Raw genomic sequence first — 18,865 nt, 5'->3', positions numbered from 1 at the left:
AGTGGCTTGAGCTCCATGCAGGTTTGGTGCCTTGCTCATACTGAGAAGCTCAGTAAGCCCACATCAACCATTTGTCTTTCTCTAGCCAAGAGTCAAATAGATCCACGTTTAAATCCCAGCTCTGCCTTTTATTAGCTGTTGGACTAGTTGTTTAAACCTCTCTGCCTCAGTTTCTTCATCTAATATCAGTACCTTCCTAAAGGGGTTGCTGTGCCCATTACATGAAATAATGCTCAGAAAGCAGTGGTACAGGGTAGGAATTCAGTATGGTAGCTGCTATTGTTTTTGTTACTATTATTATTTCATCTCACCCCTACTGCCAGTGCCCCGCATGCAGTAAGTGCTAATAATTGTCCAATCAAGAAACAAGTGAACAAAGGCCATGTTCTTATTCCCTTGCTCTTGTGGGTTGGCCCCTTCCTCTTCTGCTGCCTGCATGCCCACTCCCATCAGACTGCTGAGAGCGTTCCTGGCGCGCCCCGACTTGGTGCTGACATCAGCAAACAGAGCCCCGGAGGCCGAGTCTTTCACTCCGGGGTTGTGCATCCTCCGGGGGTGTCAGCTCTTCAAGCTCTTCCAGGTCCTGCAGCTGTTGGCTAGAGATGCCAGCTATGGAAACAGCTGTGCCTCCACCATCTTGCCTCTTCCTCCCCCTGGATTCCTGCTATCCCTTTGGCAGGCAAGCGCACTTAAAAATAAGTGGCAAAAGTTGCACTTGTTTGAAGTGTAAGATATGTCACTCTCAGAAAGAGATTTTGTTCTTACTGAATAAAGGATAAGAAATAGATTCCTAGTTAAAGAACTTTTTTGGCTAACTCTTCTTTCAGGGGGTGGGAGCGAGCATCCTTTGTCCTTTTGGCGTAGGCTCTTGGGGAAGAATGGATGTTCTTGCTTCAGAGCCGCCAGCACAGGCTCTCTGGGCTCTGGCTTTCTCATTGATCTATTTCCCTCTAGTGAATGGGTTTTACAGAAGCTGCAGAGAGATTTTCCCCTAATGATTGTGGATAGAAAAGAATAAAAAGTGACTCCGGGGGTATCTTGGGACCTTAACTGTCATTGCACGCTGATGCTTCATTTCAGAATGCAAACGGCCTTCTTCTACTTTGCCGGGATAAATGGTTCCCTTTAGCTGGGGACAGTGAGAAAAGAAGCAGGGCTTTCCAGGTAAAATTGAACGGCCTCCTGTGTTGGGGGTGAGGCTCTCCCCCCCACCTCCTTTCCTCATCTCCCCCAGAATCCTAAAGAAAGGAGGACGGAGGCTGGAGTCCACTGGCCAGCTTGGTGTATAGAATCTTTTTCTTTCTCTTTTTGAGCGGGGGATAAGGTCTGGTTGGAGGGAAGTGGCACCATCTTGGCTCACTGCAACCTCCACCTCCCAGGCTCAAGCCATCTTCCGACTTCAGCTTCCCAAGCAGCTGGGACTACAGGCGCGCACAATCATGCCCGGCTAATCTTTGTATTTTTTGTAGAGATGGGGTTTTGCTATGTTGCCCAGCCTGGTCTCAAACTCGTGAGCTCAAGCCATCTGCCTGACTTGGCCTCCCAAAGTGCTGGGATTACAGGCGTGAGGTACCATACCTGGTGATGGATACAGTCCTAATCTGTTTCCTCCTAACAGGCATCTCCCGGTGAAGCCTGGAGTCTAGGGAAGGAACTCCTGCTTAATGGGCCCCCAGGAAGTCACTTTCTCAGGCTGGCTGGCATCAGAACTGGTGCCCAGGTAGGAGGTGCCAGTGTCAGTCTTCTCAGGGTGGGGTGGTGTCTGCTTTTCCTGTGGGTCTAGCATCCTCACCAGGTTATAACAAGGCCAGCTCGGAGCTCTGTACTGGGATCTCTTAACAATCACCGGCCCTGAGCACCCATCTCCTGGGTGAGGGTTTGGGCCAGAAAGATCCTCTGAGCCAATTCTGGACTCCTTATCTGTGTCCTGTGGTAGAGCAACAGCTCTGTGAGGACAGAGCAAAGCTAGGGGGCCACCGCCGTGTACCAATATCAGCACAGGAGCTTGGCCCTGGTGGGAAAGCAATGGAAATCCATCTGCGATAGAATGGATGGGTGAAGGAAGAAACTTACACCTTCTCAAGCAGGGGCAGGTGGCCCTCATGATTCCAGACTGTGGCTGTGATCTGGGACAAGCTCTCCCCTTTATTTCCAAGTGAGCTGCTTATATGTCCCATTCTGTAAGAACACAGCCAATGAATCATCACAACAGCACAATGACAATGATGACTTTGGGATCCAAAATAAGAAAATCAAACTCCCTTACATTCGTTCAGGAATCTACAGTTCAACGAGGCTGTTTCCCATGCATACGTCACACCCTTCGCCTGCATGTGAGTGGATGAATGTGGCCTCCGTTTACAGGTGAGGCAGCTGAGGTGCTGCCAGGTCAAGGGACCTGCCCAGGACCATGCAGGCAGCAAAAGGTGGGGTGGCTGCCTCCCAACGTGGGATGCAGAGCTGCAGTTGCCCCAGCACAAAGTCAGTTTCATGCTCAGCTACAGAACTAATCTCAGTGACCTTTCCTGGGTCCCATGCTCTGCTGCCAGATCTCTTGTGGGATGAGGCCACCATGCTGACCAAGAAGCTCCAGACCACGATCAGCTGGCTGTCCGCTGTAGGGGCACAGGTCTCCCCACCCCAGGGCACTTGCGGATTCAGGAAGGAGGCAGTGGAGGCTCTCCTTGCTTTCAGTAGGAGCTAAGCCTTTTCAACTGCACTCTAGGGCATTTCCAGCAAATTCCTACATGACCCTATGCAGGGGAGGGGACACAACCCTGGTGGCTTCACTTTATGGGTTGAAAGTCTCTGTGGGCTCCAAAAGCGGGTCAGCCTGCCCTCGTTTTCTGGAGACTCTGGCTACGCTCTTTGGACAGTTCACAGGGATAATCTCTAGAGGTGCCCTGGCTAGAACACGGAGATGCCTGGCACTGCTGTGCATTCATCCAATGAGTGACAGTGATCTTGAGCCCTTGACCTAATCCGACAGTGTGACCTAATCCCACAGTATGACCCAATCCATTTGGCATTAATGCTGGCTGAGACTGGAGACCACTGACCTCTTTTCCTTTCAGTTTGATCATATAATAAGAACTGTGTTAGTATAAATCATTATTTAAAGTGTGCTTTAGGCCAGGCATGGTGGCACATGCCTGTAATCCCAGCACTTTGGGAGACTGAGGCAGGCAGATCACTTGAAGTCAGGAGTTCGAGACCAGCCTGGCCAACATGGTGAAACCCCATCTCTACTAAAAATACAAAAATTAGCCAGGCATGGTTGTGCATACCTATAAACCCAGCTACTTGGGAGGCTGAGTCAGGAGAATGGCTTGAACCCAAGAGGCAGAGGTTGCAGTGAGCCAAGATTGTGCCACTGCACTCCAGCCTGGGTGACAGAGTGGACTCTGTCTCAAAAAAAAAAAAAAAAAAATGCAATAAGTGTCAGTGTTGTGTAATTGACTGTTAGTTCATAGCAATGGTCTCACCAGTCTGCCCACAGTATAGTGAGGTGGTAGGATGGAAGGCCTGGAACTAGAGACTAGGATTTGAATTTTGGCTCCACCACTTCTTAGTTGTGTAACTTCACACACTCTGTAAGTCTCGTGCCCCTAATCTGCAAAGTAGGTACAGTGTCAGTGCCTACTCATTGAGTTTTTGTGGGGACAAAACCAGAGAATGCTTGTGATGTGTTTGTCACTGTGGTCCCCATTACCCTTAAGAAATGTCAGCTCTTTTCTTTGCTCTTATTACTACATTAGTGTAAACAATGTCTCCCATAGAGGCTGCTCCTGAATTAGTAGTGTATTCTTGCCATAAATTACACTTGGGAATAGCCTGATTAATAGTCAGAGATAAGAGGCCTAGGGTGTAAACTCCACCAAATTGTTCAATGTGTGAGACTTTGAGTTAGAAGGCTTGGCGAATGTCCTGCCTCGCTATTTGCTGCCTTCATGGGTATAACTAATATACCTTCTCCTCATCTGTGAATGGGGATAATGATGTTCCTGAGCTATGGAGAGGACCAGGCAAGCACTGTGTGTCAGAGCACCTGGCATAGGGCCTGGTACAGGTCAATGCCCACCTATTTTCTGTCCTTCCTTTCTTCCTGTTTGTTCAAACCAGGTCTGAGGCTAACAGATGTGTCTTGGTGAGTCCAAGAGGGTGGCTGGGCCATAAGGGTTGGGGGAGTGGAGAAGTGGGGCTACCAGTTGCTGCTGGCAATTTGCAATATCTACCCTGTCCCAGGAATTGTACCCTGGCCTCTCGGGATGATTTAGTATGGCAGTCATGGAGCTGAAAGTTACAAATGGAGGCTCCAGTGATGGAGCTGGATTTCCTGTTCTATTTAGTCCAGAGCCCATGTGGAGGATCCAAGACAATTAGAGCCAGAGAGTGCTGGAGAAGGCCTCAGTGATCATCATCAGACCATCCTTCTTATTGAACAGATGAGGAAACTGAGGCCTAGAGAGAGAAGACACCTAAAAGTCCACACAGCAAGTTACAGAGACTTGCTCAGGCAGAGCCACACCCCTGTGTCCACGCCTCTGGTCCTTCTAGGTCTCTGGGGTCACACTGATCAGAATTCCTCCAGCATCTGCTATATGCCAAGCTTTGTGTTTCTCATTCAATTCATTTACCAAAAATTGAAAGAGTGCTTACACTGTTCCTGGCACTGGGGACACACTAATGAACAGGACAGATATGATCCCTGCCCTCATAGAGCTTCCAGGCTAGTGGGAAGGCACAGGGACAGGCAATAACAAGGAATCAATCAAATAAGTCCGTGTAAATTCAGATGCAGACAAAGAACGGAATGTGGCAGTGATGGGGGGTCATGGAGGAAGAAATGAATTAGGGTTGTAGCTTCAAGGGCGACCTCTGAAAGTTACTTTGGTATTGTGAGATTTATTTCTATTAATACTTCCTTTCGCTATGTACTACAGTATTATCTCCTCAGGAAAGTGAGGCTCAGAGAGGTTAATTAACTTGCCCAAAATCACACAGCCAGTCAGTGGAGGAGTCAGAATTCGAACCCTACTCTGCCTGACTCCGAAGTCCAGGTTTTTTCCACCATCCTTGATTATCTACAGAAATTAGGACAACCTACTACAGAATGTCAGGTAATATGGTAACCATTAGTATGAGCATTAAGGGACCCCAAGGCCAGACCTGTGAGCCCAGCCTCACTGCTGTCTCTGTCTCCTGTTCTAGGGGGAGGGACGAGGTGGATATTCTAGATGGTCTTACCCTCTCCTCTCCTTCGGAGACTGGCTTCATTGGGAGTGAGATGACACTGTCGCAGGGCTAGCTTTTTGTAGGCCACTAGTTGTCGCAGGCTGCTGATGAAGCCAAGCAGATCACCCCCATGTCCACAAGCACACCGGGATTAGATACATTTAAGTCCTAGATCCCAAACGCCTTTTTCATTTCTGGTTTTGCATTTGTTTCCATTCTACTATCTTCATTTGGAAAACCCTTTCATTCCTCAAGAAAACAAGCCACACAATCAAAAAAAGATGTGTCTTATCCTCTGGGCGCTGCCTCATTGCCTGCCCCATTATTGACCAATGCCACCGGAGTGCCTTGCACAGCTTGGCCAGCGTTCGCTGTGCACATCGACCGGTGAGCTGGCATGCTGACAGCGGCAGGGGCCCCCAGCTTCAGACACTTCTGAACCCAGCTGCTTTACGGACACAATCGGTTGAATCGGTTGAATCATGACTTGTCTCCCAAACCACAAATTTGTAACTAGTTCACCGTGAGCCTATGCAGCCAGATGAATTGTAACTTGGGCAGTCCCTGCACCTAAATTTTTTTTTTACCCAATAAAAAATGATATCTAGACATCTCTGTGTGCATGAAAGCATGTCTGTACGTGCGTGTGTATGTTTGGCACCAATGGGAAATACAGAGACGTGGAATGCCAGCTCTGCCCTCAACCTCTTCCCAGACGGGTGGGAGATGATATTCTGTGGACTGTAATTCAAAGAAGACAGACTAATAACAAAGAGCTATGGAGACCAGGGGAGGGGCAAGAATTCAGATCTGGAGTGGAGACCAGGAAAATGGTCCTGGGAGGCCAGACTCTTGGAGAAATGTGGACCTGGCAATAAGAATTTATGAGCTCTTTCTCCGTCACTGCTGAGTGTATATCTTCCAAGGTATTTTCCAGTGGGCATAAATTACCTTTCGATTGCAGTATTCGCCACCTCCACTCATCCCCCAACACCAGGTCTTATGTGGACTGTTAGGGAAGCCTCTAACTTGTACCCTGCCTCCTCACCCTTTCTGCACCACCTCACCTCATCGTCACAGCTGTGAGGAATCCAACAGACACACACACTGGACCTTGTCCTTGTCTGAAAACTTTTGGCTGCTCCTCCTTGTCCTTAGAATACAGTCTAGACTCCCCAGGGGGGCAGATAGAGCCCTCCAGAATTGGCCCTGCCCTGCTCTGCGGCCACATCTGTGCCATTTCCTCCTGGAACACTGTGCCAGTCAACCTGGAGTCCCCTGTGCCCATTACCCTGGAGTCCCCTGTGCCCCACAGGTCCACGTCTCTGGGCCTCTGCATGTACTGCTCCTCCTTCCAAGTGCTGTTCTCATCTCTTAAGCCTGAGCTGTCCTCCCTGACCCACCCCCACCAACTTTCAGTGCCCCCACGGAGCCTCATGCATACAGACGTCTCTTGCTGCACCTCTTATATGCAATATATTCCTCTGTTTACATCACTGCTCATTTACTGAGTTATATGAGGGTGGTCCAGGCCCGTGCCTCTTTGAGTCCCCATGCCTTATACAGCATCTGACAGAAGGGTGGCTCAGGGAATGTGTGGCACAGCAGTGAATGATGTGCAGCTTCCACCGTACTTCCAGACATGAATTGATGGTCCTGGAACCTTCAGAGAAGCCTTACCACGTTGTGATCAGTAGGTGGGGGACTCGACACTACCACTGCAGAGGTGGCTTTGTGGGGTGGCCCCTGTGTGTGCTCTTATGTTTGCAAAGTGCGTTCTTTCACGCAGTCAGCCTACCAATGGGTGACCAGATTCTTTCTTCAGAAGCCAGTCAGAAAAGGGACTTGGCTTCCCAGATTACGCAAAGGCAATCTAATCCCAGACCTTCAGTTTTTGGTTAGCCAGCGGCTGCACAAGTGTCACAGACCACAGGGGCTGGGCGACGGGCATGGTGGTCCCTCTGCTTTCCTGGGCACGTTAGGATGTCATTCTCTCACAGGACTCGTTTCAGAGAATTTTCCGTGTAAATGTGAAAGACCTAAATTTATGCCTGTCTCAGTAACTAAGTATAGGCTACTTATGGAACCACCCAGCTATGGGAAATCCAGCCATGACAACTAACTGTGAAGAAATAGCCCCCCTTATTACACAGAGCAGACATCCTCAGGGATTGGATGAAAAAGAGCTCTCTAGGAAGTCAGTGAAAACGAGCTCCCTGCCTCCTCAGAGTATGCCTGGTCAATGTGTGACAGGCTCGCTACTGGGTTCCCATGCTGCATCCATAACAGACATAACCAATCGATCCCAGCATTCTTTCTAGATGGGCTCAAAGTCCTTCCTCCCTCCAGTGCCACCTCCATGCACAATGCCTAGCCTCAGGCATACTGCTGCTCCTGCACCTCTGTGAATGAGCCCTCCACAGAGGTCCACCTTTGGTCCATGGTTGATCCATGGACCAAAATGCCTGTTCCTTGTGGGCCTCAAGACAGCTGAATAATCTACTAATTCAAAGGGAGACCAGAAAGGCAATAGTCAAAGATAATAAAGAGCATAACAATAGTCTACCCTCTATAATGCAAGTTTTTTCTCCTCTCAGAGGGTCCCTGATCCCATCAGAGGACTCAGTTCTTCACAAGCAAGACTGATCTTGCAGCAGAGGGCTGATGGAGTCATTTACATGGAGAGCCAAAGAGAGTCTCTCCCACCAGGACCTTGAGCTCCTTTGAGGTGTGCCTCATTTTTTCATTCATCAAGTGTTTATTAAGCATCTATGTTTAAGGGCAAGCTCTGGGGAAAACATGGACATAGAAACAGACATGGTCTCTGTCCTCAAGCAGCTTATAGCCTCAGAACAGGCCAGACATTAGTCAGATAATTGCACAAATGACTGTAAAATTACAACTGTGGTAAGTACTCCAAGGAGCCTAGATTGATCCAGTCAGAGGATGAATAGGATTAACTTGACATAGAGTGAAGGGAAGAACATTCTAGGCAGAGGGAACAGCATTCGGAAAGATTGTGTGTCAAGAAGGAGATGAGCACAACAGCCTTGGTGGTCCTGGGAAGAGGATTTGTCTACATTCTACGCACAACAGGAAACCACCAGGCAGAACCTCTAGCCCTGGGACAGTGCTGTGCACATTCGAGGGCTGGATGCATCAGTGAGGAACAAAGGCATGCATGGGGGAAAGGATCCAGTGTGATGGAATGACGGATGCTCTCCCACCCAGATTATGTGCAAACCCTGGAATGAATCCGCCTCCACACTGACTTTGGAGATCTGGGGCAGGTCGGGTTTCCAACTGCAGGTCTTTAGTATTCCTTGACTAAGTCAGCTTAGTCAACTACGTTAACGAGGTCAAGTCAAGCTAAGTTAACTACTCCAGCCATTCTTAGAGGTATTTCACTGCAGGCTTTTTGTGTTCTATTTCTGCCTTTCCCCCCACAACAGTTGGGTAACAGTCCCCAGCATAGTGAATAAGTTCTGTAAGATTTAATATTGATTTGTTGGAGTTTTTAAAAATTGAAAGTATAATTAATGATTTATTGCTACTTTGCAGTTTGCATTAATCACTGTCATTAATGGTAATCCTTTTAGGTGGTTTATAACTTTTAAATGGAGTCTGTTAATTCCCAAGCCTGGTGGCTTTGTCTCTAGGCTGCATTGGGGTCTGCCACCCTCCCATGCCCCCGACATCCCTCCCCATCACCCCATTTGCTTTAAGATACAGGGATGAAACTCCAGGTGTAAACTTTTCAGGGTCAGCCTCTTACCAAGGAACAGACATTTGGGTACCTTCCTGGCCAAGAGGAGGGGTGGTGCACAAGCTGGCTCTGGGCCTTTGCTGTGGGCAGAGAGAACCAGGCCACTGCTAGCTCTTCAACCCACTACTTCATTTACAACTCTCTGACTTTGTATTCCCTGGTTTGCATGTCTGACACCTCACTTGGCACATGATTTATTACAGCTTTTCAATAGCCCGTTCTTTCTGATTGACCTGTCCATCTCCATTTGGAGTGGAAAGATTGGCTTCTAGGTGTTTGTGGTGAGAATATTCCTGAGTGCGATGGTTTGGGGTTAGGAGCTTCCTGCTCTTGGTACAGAACCGAGGACCACAACTAAAGGAACTCCCCTTTCTCTGGCTGGGAAATGAAAAGGGTGGGGAAATACACACTAGAAGTTGCCTGAGACCTGGCTGAAGGAGAGAAACTTTCTGTTTTGCCAACACCTTCAGGGATAGAAAAAAAATCAAACTTCTGCCTGCATCACAGGCAAGGGAAGGCAGCTCAATGGAAACAGCATGAAAAGAACTTCGGAGCCCATATAGGTCAATCCCCTGCTTCTGGGGTGGGCATTCTCTCCCACATGAATAGGTCCAGATTTCATTTTGAAAACATTTCCCTGGGAGGAATCTTCCCTCAAATTCTCTCTCTTTCCGTCTCTACCCTTCTTCAAGGTTTGACAATCTCTCTAACCAAAATCCCTCTTGCTGTAGTTAGAGCCTCTTAGGGACCAGTTAAACTGGAATAAGGGATGGCCATAACAAAACATGCAAATTCCTTTTCCTTTTAAAGAGAAATATGTCTCCTGGATATTACCTGAATAAACCCATCAGCTTGCTGTTACTTTTCTGGGATTATACTTGATGAGGATGGTTGCAGAAAGTCCTGTAAACATCTTCTATAGTCTGTATGGGGAGGACAAGTCCCACCTGTTTCCAGTGGAACATTCTGATTCCTGTTGTTACTCTATATTTACAGAGTGGGCTCCACTAAGAGCCCACCTCCTTCTGTCACTGGTGGAAAGGCTATTTAATATGATCCCAATTAGAGGGAGGAGGATCTGGGATGGTTGTTGGAACATGGCAGACGGGGGAGACCCGGAGGGAATAAACCACCCCAGGATGCTGTGTGACCACCTGACCCTCTGCAAAGCAGCATCGTGGCACTCTGTTCCCTTTCAAGGTTCCCACAGTGAGTGCCACCCATTTTTACCACAATGGCAACAGGATTTATGCTCCCACCCACTCTCAGTTCTGAACTTTCTATGGCTTTGCCCCTCATTGGTCATAAAACACGTGTCACCTGCCTCTCTGACTTGGCTTTTCTTGCAATTACATGGTTTCCTTTGCGATCTTCCTGGCCAGTGGAAGCAGAAGGATGCTTTTACAGACAGGGTATTATAGATGGGTTGGCAGATGAGGTGATTTCTGAGGGCCTGGCACAATGCCCAAAGGGACGTGAGTCAGCTCTCAGAGGAGGTTTGGTTTTTCCTTCCAAATTCATACAAACAGCAGTGAAGTTTAAAAGATCCTCAAGTGGATTACAACCCCCATTCATTTGGCAGCAGAGGAGCACAACTGTCAAAAAGTCCAGGTACTTTAAGCTGTGGAAGAGGCACAGAGTCACTCTCAAGTTGGACAGGGCTTCAAGCTATTTCTAAAATTAACATCGGGGCCTTTCGTTCCCTTTCGAGGTTCCTTTGAGGAATGGGTGAAAGCCACCTCTTCTTGACCACAGCAGTGACTGGATTTATTTTTGTCCTGTCTTCCTCCTCCACATTCTCAGTTCTCGAGGCTTTTTATTGTTTTTGGTTTTAGCCAGGCTTGGGCTGGTTGCTTACTCTCCGGTGTGCAGGGCTTCTAGAAGTGTTAGCCACAGCCAGCGGGAGGCAGCCGATCACCCATCCCACCTGCTGAGCTGTCGCGGGCAGACATCTGTTGAGCTCCTCCCCAGCACCAGCCGCAAGAATGTACCTGATGTGGTCTTTGCTCTGCAAGAGCTCTCAGTTTAGAGCAGTCTTTTTGAGAAAAAAAAAAAAAAAGTGGTATGATACACGTAATATAAAATACCATCCTAACTTGTTTTTTTTTTTTTTTTTTGAGATGGAGTCTCACTCTGTCACCCAGGCTGGAGTGCGGTGGTGCGATCTTGACTCGCTGCAACCTCTGCCTCCCAGGTTCAAGTGATTCTCCTGCCTCAGCCTCCCTAGTAGCTGGGATTACAGACATGCACCACCATGCCCAGCTAATTTTTGTATTTTTAGTAGAGATGGGGTTTTACCATGTTGGCCAGGCTGGTCTCGAACTCCTGACCTCAGGTGATCCACTCACCTCGGCCTCCCAAAGTGCTGGGATTACAGGCGTGAGCCACCACACTTGGCCTCATCCTAACCATTTTTAAGTATATAGTTCAGTGATGTTATGTTTACTCATATTGATGTGCAAACAATCTCCAGAACTCTTGTCTCCTGCAAACCTGAAATTCTGTACAGTATATACATGGGGGATGTGTTCCAAGATCCCTGGTGGATGTCTAAAACTGCAGATAGTACCGAATCCTACAGAGAGAGATAGTCCCAGATTTAACGATGATTTGACTTAAGATTTGTCGACTTTATGATGGTGTGAAAGCAACACACATTCAGCAGGAACTGTACTTTGAATTTTGAATTTTGATCTTTTCCTGGGCTAGTGGTATGCGGCATGATATTCTCTTGTGATGTTGGGCAGCGGCAGAGAGCCCCGGTCAGCCCTGTGATCACGAGGGTCAGCAACTGATACAGTACTCTACCGTTTACAGTGTTCAGTAAATCACATGAGATATTCAATGCTTTATTATAAAATAGGCTTTGTGATAGATGATTTTGCTCAAATGTAGGCTAATGTAAGTGTTCTGAGCACACAAGGCAGGCTAGGTTAAGCTGTGACATTCGGTAGGTTAGGTGTATTAAATGCATTTTCTACTTACAATATTTTCAATTTACAACGGGCTCATCAGGACGTGACCCATCATAAGTTAAGGAGTATCTGTAATGCTGCAATGAACATGGGTGTGCAAACATCCCTTTGATACTCTGCTTTTAAAAGCAAGTGTTCTTGGCTGGGCATGGTGGCTCACGCCTGTAATCCCAGCACTTTGGGAGGCCGAGGCGGGCAGATCACCTGAGATCAGGAGTTCGAGACCAGCCTGGCCAACATATATGTTGCCATATATGTAGCGAATCCTCATTTCTCTACTAAAAAATGCAAAAAATTAGCTGGGCATTGTAGTGCATGCCTGTAGTCCCAGCCACTTGGGAAGCTGAGGCAGGAGAATTGCTTGAACCCAGGAGGCAGAGGTTGCAGTGAGCCAAGATCGCACCACTGCACTCCTCCAGCCTGGGCGACAGAGCGAGACTCTGTCTCTCAAAACAAACAAACAAACAAACAAACAAACAAAAAAAGCAAGCATTCCTAACCTGGGGCCCGTGAACTCCCAGAAACTAGCTGCAATACATGGTGTGTTTCTGTAAATGCTTCTTGTTCTAGGGAAAGCAAATTCATAGCTCGCATCAGGTTTTCAGTGGGCTTAGGATGTCAGGAGGGCTCAGTCTAGAGAGTAACAAAAGCAGCACCTCCTTCGGAATCCCCCAAGGCCCTGCCTGTCCTGAGTGCCGCCTCTCCGATGGCAGGGCAGGTGTGAAGGAGCAAGTCATTCACTTCTTGGTTCCTGTCCCAGCTGTGCCATTTACTACCTGGGTGACACTTGGCAGTTCAGCTGACGTCTTGGAGCCCTAGTCTTCAAATCTGTAAAATAGAAATAATGACAACGTCTTCCTAGGATTGTTAGGAAGATTAAACTAGATTTAGCACAATGGTCAAAAGCATAATGTGGTAGGCTGAATCATAATGCCCCCCCCTGCCCCACCGACCACCACCCTGCCAAAATATCCAGCTCCTAATCCCTGGATATCCTGGCAAAAGGGACTTTGCAGGATGTGGTTAAATGAAGGATCTTGAGATGGAGGAGAGTATCCTGGGTTATCCAGGTGGGATCTAAACGTAATCACAAGTGTCTTTGTGAAAAGGGAGGCAGAGGAAGCTACCGAAGAGGAAGCAGGACGAGTGATGGTGAAGCAGGAGGCTGGAGTGGTGGGAGAAGAGGCTACGAGGCAGGGAAGGCAGGCCCTCTCTGGAAGCTGGAAAAGCAAGGAAACGGATTCCCCCGCCTGATCTTCGGGAAGGAGCCAGCCCTGCGGACAACCTCCACGTTAGTCTAGTGAAACTGATTCCACACATCTGGCCTCCGGAGCTGTAATATAATAAATCTGTGTTGTTTTAAGTAATGTGTTACAGCAGCAATAAGAAATGAGTGTACGTGGACTCTGGGGCCAGACTGCCTGGGTCTGAGTAAACCACTTACCAGCTGTGTGACCTTGGGCATGTCACTTAATCTCTTCATGCCTCAGTTTCCTCATCTTTCAATAATAAGGCCCACCACAAAAGGGCTGCTATGAGGAGTAAAGAAGCTAGTATGTGTAAGTCATTGAGACTAGCACCCGGAACCTAGTAAACGCTGTGTTAAGTATTTGTTAAATAAAATAACTAAAAAGCACGTGAAGGTGGCTGGCTCACAGGAGGCTGTGGGGTGATGCGAGTGGATGCTGACGGGTTTGGCGGCGTGGGCTGTGCTCCGTGGAGTCAGTTCAGGAAGGCAGGGGAGTATTTGGTGCCTCTCAGGAAGACTATGGTAATCTTCATGAAAATGAACCATGGATGCTTGAAGGAATGAACCCTCCATTGTCTGTTACACTGAATGCCTCACACCCTGCATTTCCCAGTGTTCCTTGAAATATTAATAGCTGTTACTTCAAAACAAGAGTCAAGGTCAAATAAGTTTGAGAAACTGCATTTCAAAGCCGACTTGTTTTCTTTTCTTTAGAAGTCTCAGAAGCTTTAATATGCTAATGAGCCTGATGAATCTCTGAGAAGCATTTTTCAAACATTTGGCCACTCAACCACTTTGTATGGTGCTTCCAACATGGCCAGCACTCGGCAGAAGGCGCCTCAGAGCAAGCCTGTATACCTGTGCCTGCTACAGAGGTGTGTGAAGGTGGGACAACCCATCTGAGAGGCAGTGTCAGGGGCCTGTTTGCCTGACCTCAGAACTAACTAGAAAATGCAGCTGCTGCTGCTCCTGTCATTCATATCCCAGACAGTCAGAAAGGGTGACCGACAGGCCCATCCATCCCTGTTTCCTTCAGGGCCTGGGCCAGCCTCCAGTGGAGGCGCCTAGACCCTGAGGCCCCAGACCCTAGCATGCCCCTCTCTTGCCTCCCTCCTGACCCAATCTAAGACCCTGAGGGCACTGTGGATGCCACAGCCCTCAGATCTAAACTTCATCCTGCCCCCTCCTCCAGCTACCCCTTGGCTGCTTCTCAGGCTTAGGGATGTACCTACCAGCAGCCAGCGTCAGCCTATGGGAGGACAGAGAAAGTGGCAGCGTGGGCCCTGGAAGCAGGCCTGGGGCCTTTTTGGACAGGGGACTCTGGGCGTCTGGATATCCAAACGGGGGTTTAGAAGGTGGAGGCAGACAAGGCCTCTTGGCCCTGTGGGCTTCTGACTCCACGGGGTGTGGTGTGACTTAAGGAGGGGTCAAGCAGGGCCCTCTAGTGTGGGGGACCCAGAGCCAGAGCTCCAGGTGTCTGGATCCAGGGCAGTACCTGTGGGCATTGAACACACAGCAGCACAGACCCCGAATTGCAAATAGTGCCCCCAGTCACCAAACTGGCCCTCTCCATAGCCATATCTTTGTTTGCTTCTGCGCATCTCTAGCAGACACGCAGTTCTAAGCTCCTGGTTCATCAGGAACTTGCATCCTGATCTCCGCTGTACCCCACGGGTCTTGGCATTGTACCTGGCACGCTGAGGCCAGATCCGCAGTGACCTCTCACCAGCAGCAGTCGCTGTGGTGATGGTGGCTGCCGCATGCCCTGGCCCTGGCCCTGGCCCTGGCCCTGGTCCCTCCCTCCCAAATGGAGGGAATGGTGGAGCAGGTTTCCTTTCTCAACCGTGGGGAGGGCCACCACTTCCCACAGGGAGCCTAGGCCTCTGCCCTCAGTGGGGGAGCGGAGTGGGCCACTGACTAACGCGGCTTTCAGTGCCTACGATAGGAATTCACATGGAGAGGTGGCCTTGAAATAAGTGCCTTGTTTAATCTTCATGCCCTGGAAGTATTTTTCACAAGGTGGCTTAGTTAGAGGGGCTGTGGATCTGGTAATGAGGCTGGCCTTGGAGGGGGAGACTTGTGAGAGGAGCTCAGCTATGAACACTTCTAGCAGGGCTGTATTCATAAAATCCTGGGGGCTCCCAGGGGATTTGAAGCTCTACACAGAAAATTACAGGGCAGGAAAGGACCTGGGCAATTATTTTTCCTCCAAGAATGGCCATGCTTAAAACATCACCATTAGGCGCCACAAGTGGCTTTCTCCATGACAGCTCTTTTAAAAAATACTTTATTGGGTTTTTTTAAATTACAAAAGCAATATAGGCTTCTTTTAACACAGAGGTGTGTTCTCATTATCAAAAGGAAAAAAATCAATAGGTTCCCTGATTCCCATCTCCCTGCGTCCCCAGTAGTACCAGTGTTAACAATTTAGTGTTTAGCCAGAGGTGATTAATGCACCTTTTGTGTGTGCTTATACAAAAATGTACCAACATGCATACACATATATGGGCATTTTTGTTTTTATGTGTTGGTGTTTGCTTTTTTAAAAAAGAGGAATCACACTATACCCATTATGCTGTAAGTTTCTCTTTTTACTTAGCAATATATCATGAACATTTTCTAAGTCAATACATATAGATCCACTTCATTTTTAAAAACAGCTACATAATGTTCCCCAGTATGAGTACCATAATATATTCAGCTGTTTCCCTATTGATGTGTATTCAGGTTGTTTCCAGGGTTTTTTAAAAAATTATAATAAGCAGTTCTTTTAAAATATTCTTTGATTTCTTTTTCTATCTTGTGCATATGTTACAAAAGACTCTTTTGCCTTAGGAGGATTATAAAAATGGTGAACAATTAAAATATTTCTTTACAGTCACATTGATATAGTTTTGACACCTTAAACCCTTTATGTATTCATTTGGGTGGCCCTGGGCGCTGTGCCTGGCACTGTGGAGGACAGTGACCAAGGAGATGTCTGTCCTCAAGGACCCCTGCTTTAGTGAGGGTGCTGACAAGCAGGTGGACAGGAATGCGGCTCAGATGGACGATCAAGAAGGAGGTTTCGGCCAGAATGGAAACTTAATAGATGAGAGTGTGGCCTCTTGGTTTAAATCCTGTCTCCACCACTTAGTTGCTATGAGGTCTGGGGGATGTTCACTTTTCTTATGGGGCTATTGTGAGACTCAAAGAGTTGATGTAAAGAAAAGTGCTTAGGAGGCCAGGTGTGGTGGCTCATGCCTGTAATCCCAGCACTTTGGAAGGCCGAGGATGGCTGATCATATGAGGCTAGGAGTTTGAGACCAGCCTGGCCAACATCGCAAAACCCCACCTCTACTAAAAATACAAAAATTAGCCGGGTGTGGTGGTGCACAGCTACTCGTGGTAGCTGGGTACTAATCCCAGCTACTCGGGAGGCTGAGGCAGGATAATTGCTTGAACCCAGGAGGCAGAGGTTGTAGTGAGCCATAATCGTGCCACTGTACTCTAGCCTGGAAGACAGAGTGAGACTCTTGTCTCAAAAAAAAAAAAAAAAAAAAAAAAAAAGAAAAAGAAAAGTGCTTAGGCCCCAGCCAACAAGTTGGACTCACCAAATGGCTTGTTGCTGTTTGAAGTGCTGCCCCCGCCACTGGGAGATCAGGAAAAGCTCCCCCTGAAGGGGTGACAGTGCAGCTGGCCCTTGGGAAGGAGGTGAAGGGCCTTTTAGTCAGTTGGGGAAAAAACAAACACTCCCTGCCCACCACCACCACCTGGTCCTGACCTCAGTTCTTCAGCTCCCTAGGCTGTTCAAAGATCCAAAAACCTATTTATTTTTAGTTGCTAAAAATATCCCCTAAGCCAGGGTTAAAGAATTTCTCCCTTAGTGGTAAACAGGTGACTTAGAACCAATCAGGGCCCAGCAGCCCCAGTGATGATGCTGTTCCTCCCCTACCCCCAAACATTCAGCAGGATCCTTTCATGTGTCAAAAGGAAAGAAACTTATCAGAAACTTCCTGTTGAGAAAACGATACCTCTTACCCCAGACTTAGCAGATGCACAGAAACCTTTGACTCCTGGATCTGCCAAGGCACACAAAGAACCAGAAACACCTATTGGCCTGGCCTGGGATAGGCAAACACTGGGGCTCAGCCCAACAAGCCTTCCTAGCACAGCCTGGGGGCAGCACACACAGTAGTCAAGAGAGCTGCCTGCCCTGGCTGTAGAGCCTAGGTCTGCCCCTTATTAACTGTATGACCTGTAGTAAATTATTTAGCCTCTCCGAGCCTCAGTTTCCCTGTCTGTAAAATAGAAATAAGAATACCTGTCTCAAAATCCTGTTAAGGACTAAATGAGATGGTGCCTGTAAGGCACACAGCACAGGACCTGGTGCACAGTGAGGCTGCAATACATGGCCCCTGCTGTTACCATTGTTAATGGAGACCGCCGCCCTGCTCCCTCCGCCCCCTGAAACGGGGGCTAGCACTCCCCAACTGTCTGGCCATCCTTCTCCAGCTGCCATTTGGGGATTGGCTCTGTGACAAGCAGGGGGCACAGGGCCTGGGGAATACTGGAGGAAGGCACCCAGCCCCACCTGGGAGTCAGAAGGGACCAGCTTAGGCCTGTGGAAGGGTGGGACGCTGGATCTGGAGGTCTCTGGTGAAGAAGCTGAGAAGAGGGAGTGCTTGTACAGAAGATGGAAGGGCGCAAGCTTAGGGGTTACTGGTAACTTGGTTTAGCTGGGATGAGACACCGGGTGTGGCAGGTGATGGGGATAGAGGGGCCAGCTGGTGCCAGGTGGGAAAAGGCCCTTTTGGCCAAGTGCAGCTAGGAGGGTGGACACTCTGGGTTGCCACGGAAAGGTTCTAGAAGGGGAGGTGACATGATTTGGTTTGTATTTTAGAACATTTGCTCTGGCAGCAATGTAAAGATGGCTGGGGTGGAGCACATGATGAGACCAAGGTGTGGCCACAGCAACCCAAGGATTGGCCGGGGTCACTTGGCCTTACTGCTTCAAATATAATTGGTTACAAACTCCCACCCCACACAGGAGGGGACCCGGTGTCTTTCCACTGGTCTCTGGGGGCTTGGAAACTTCCATTTCTCTCTTGACAGCTCATCTGATGCCAAACTCTTTCTGCTGAATTCTCCACCTCCATCCTGTACTTAGTAACCGCTTTAGGCACCCTTCCTGTTCCTGTTGCTCCTCGAGGGACCCATGACCAAGGCCTCTAGGTTAGCTGACATTTCCATGGATCTGGAGCAAGGGGAAGGGGTGAGGTGGTGGTGGCACAACAGATAAGACAGCGCTGAACGCCACATGCTCCTGATCTTACAGTCTCAGCACTGTCCCTGTCTCATGGGTGGTCAAGTCCTCAGTGGGCTCCGGCCTCCCCCTCTCATGGGACTGGCCCAAGGTGCTGCTTAGCCAGCTCCCCTCTCCTTCCAGTCCCACAGCTCACAATCCCCCATCTCCAGTGTTCCTGTTCATTTCTAGGGCACATATATTAAGCCCTGTGTTGGTCTCCTCTGACCCCACCCCAAGCCTGTCCAGAGGAATCTTCTTCATTAGCAAACATGCTGGGGTGCATAAGTGGGCTCCTAAACTAAGATGGTCTCTTCCTCGCTAGGGACCCCATCACCAGGTCTCCATAGAGGCCT

General features: G+C 48.6%; 1 protein-coding gene across 5 annotated transcripts in view, besides 1 other annotated feature; it reads left to right on the top strand.

Annotated features, from left to right (window-relative positions):
• KCNN3 (potassium calcium-activated channel subfamily N member 3) overlaps window positions 1-18,865 on the top strand; it is a 172,827-nt gene that overhangs the window by 67,935 nt on the left and 86,027 nt on the right. The window lies entirely within an intron of this gene.
• Window positions 10,573-10,882: an enhancer, noted in NCBI's record as "active region_1783". NCBI's record gives its function as "activates an Ori minimal core promoter by ATAC-STARR-seq in GM12878 lymphoblastoid cells {active_cell/tissue: GM12878}" and the evidence as "EXISTENCE:reporter gene assay evidence [ECO:0000049][PMID:35858748]".

This window comes from Homo sapiens, chromosome 1, assembly GCF_000001405.40.
Source record: "Homo sapiens chromosome 1, GRCh38.p14 Primary Assembly".
In the NCBI taxonomy this organism is placed as follows: Eukaryota; Metazoa; Chordata; class Mammalia; order Primates; family Hominidae; genus Homo; species Homo sapiens.
Note: the sequence above shows the minus strand (reverse complement) of the source record. Positions and strands in the feature narration are given on the sequence as shown.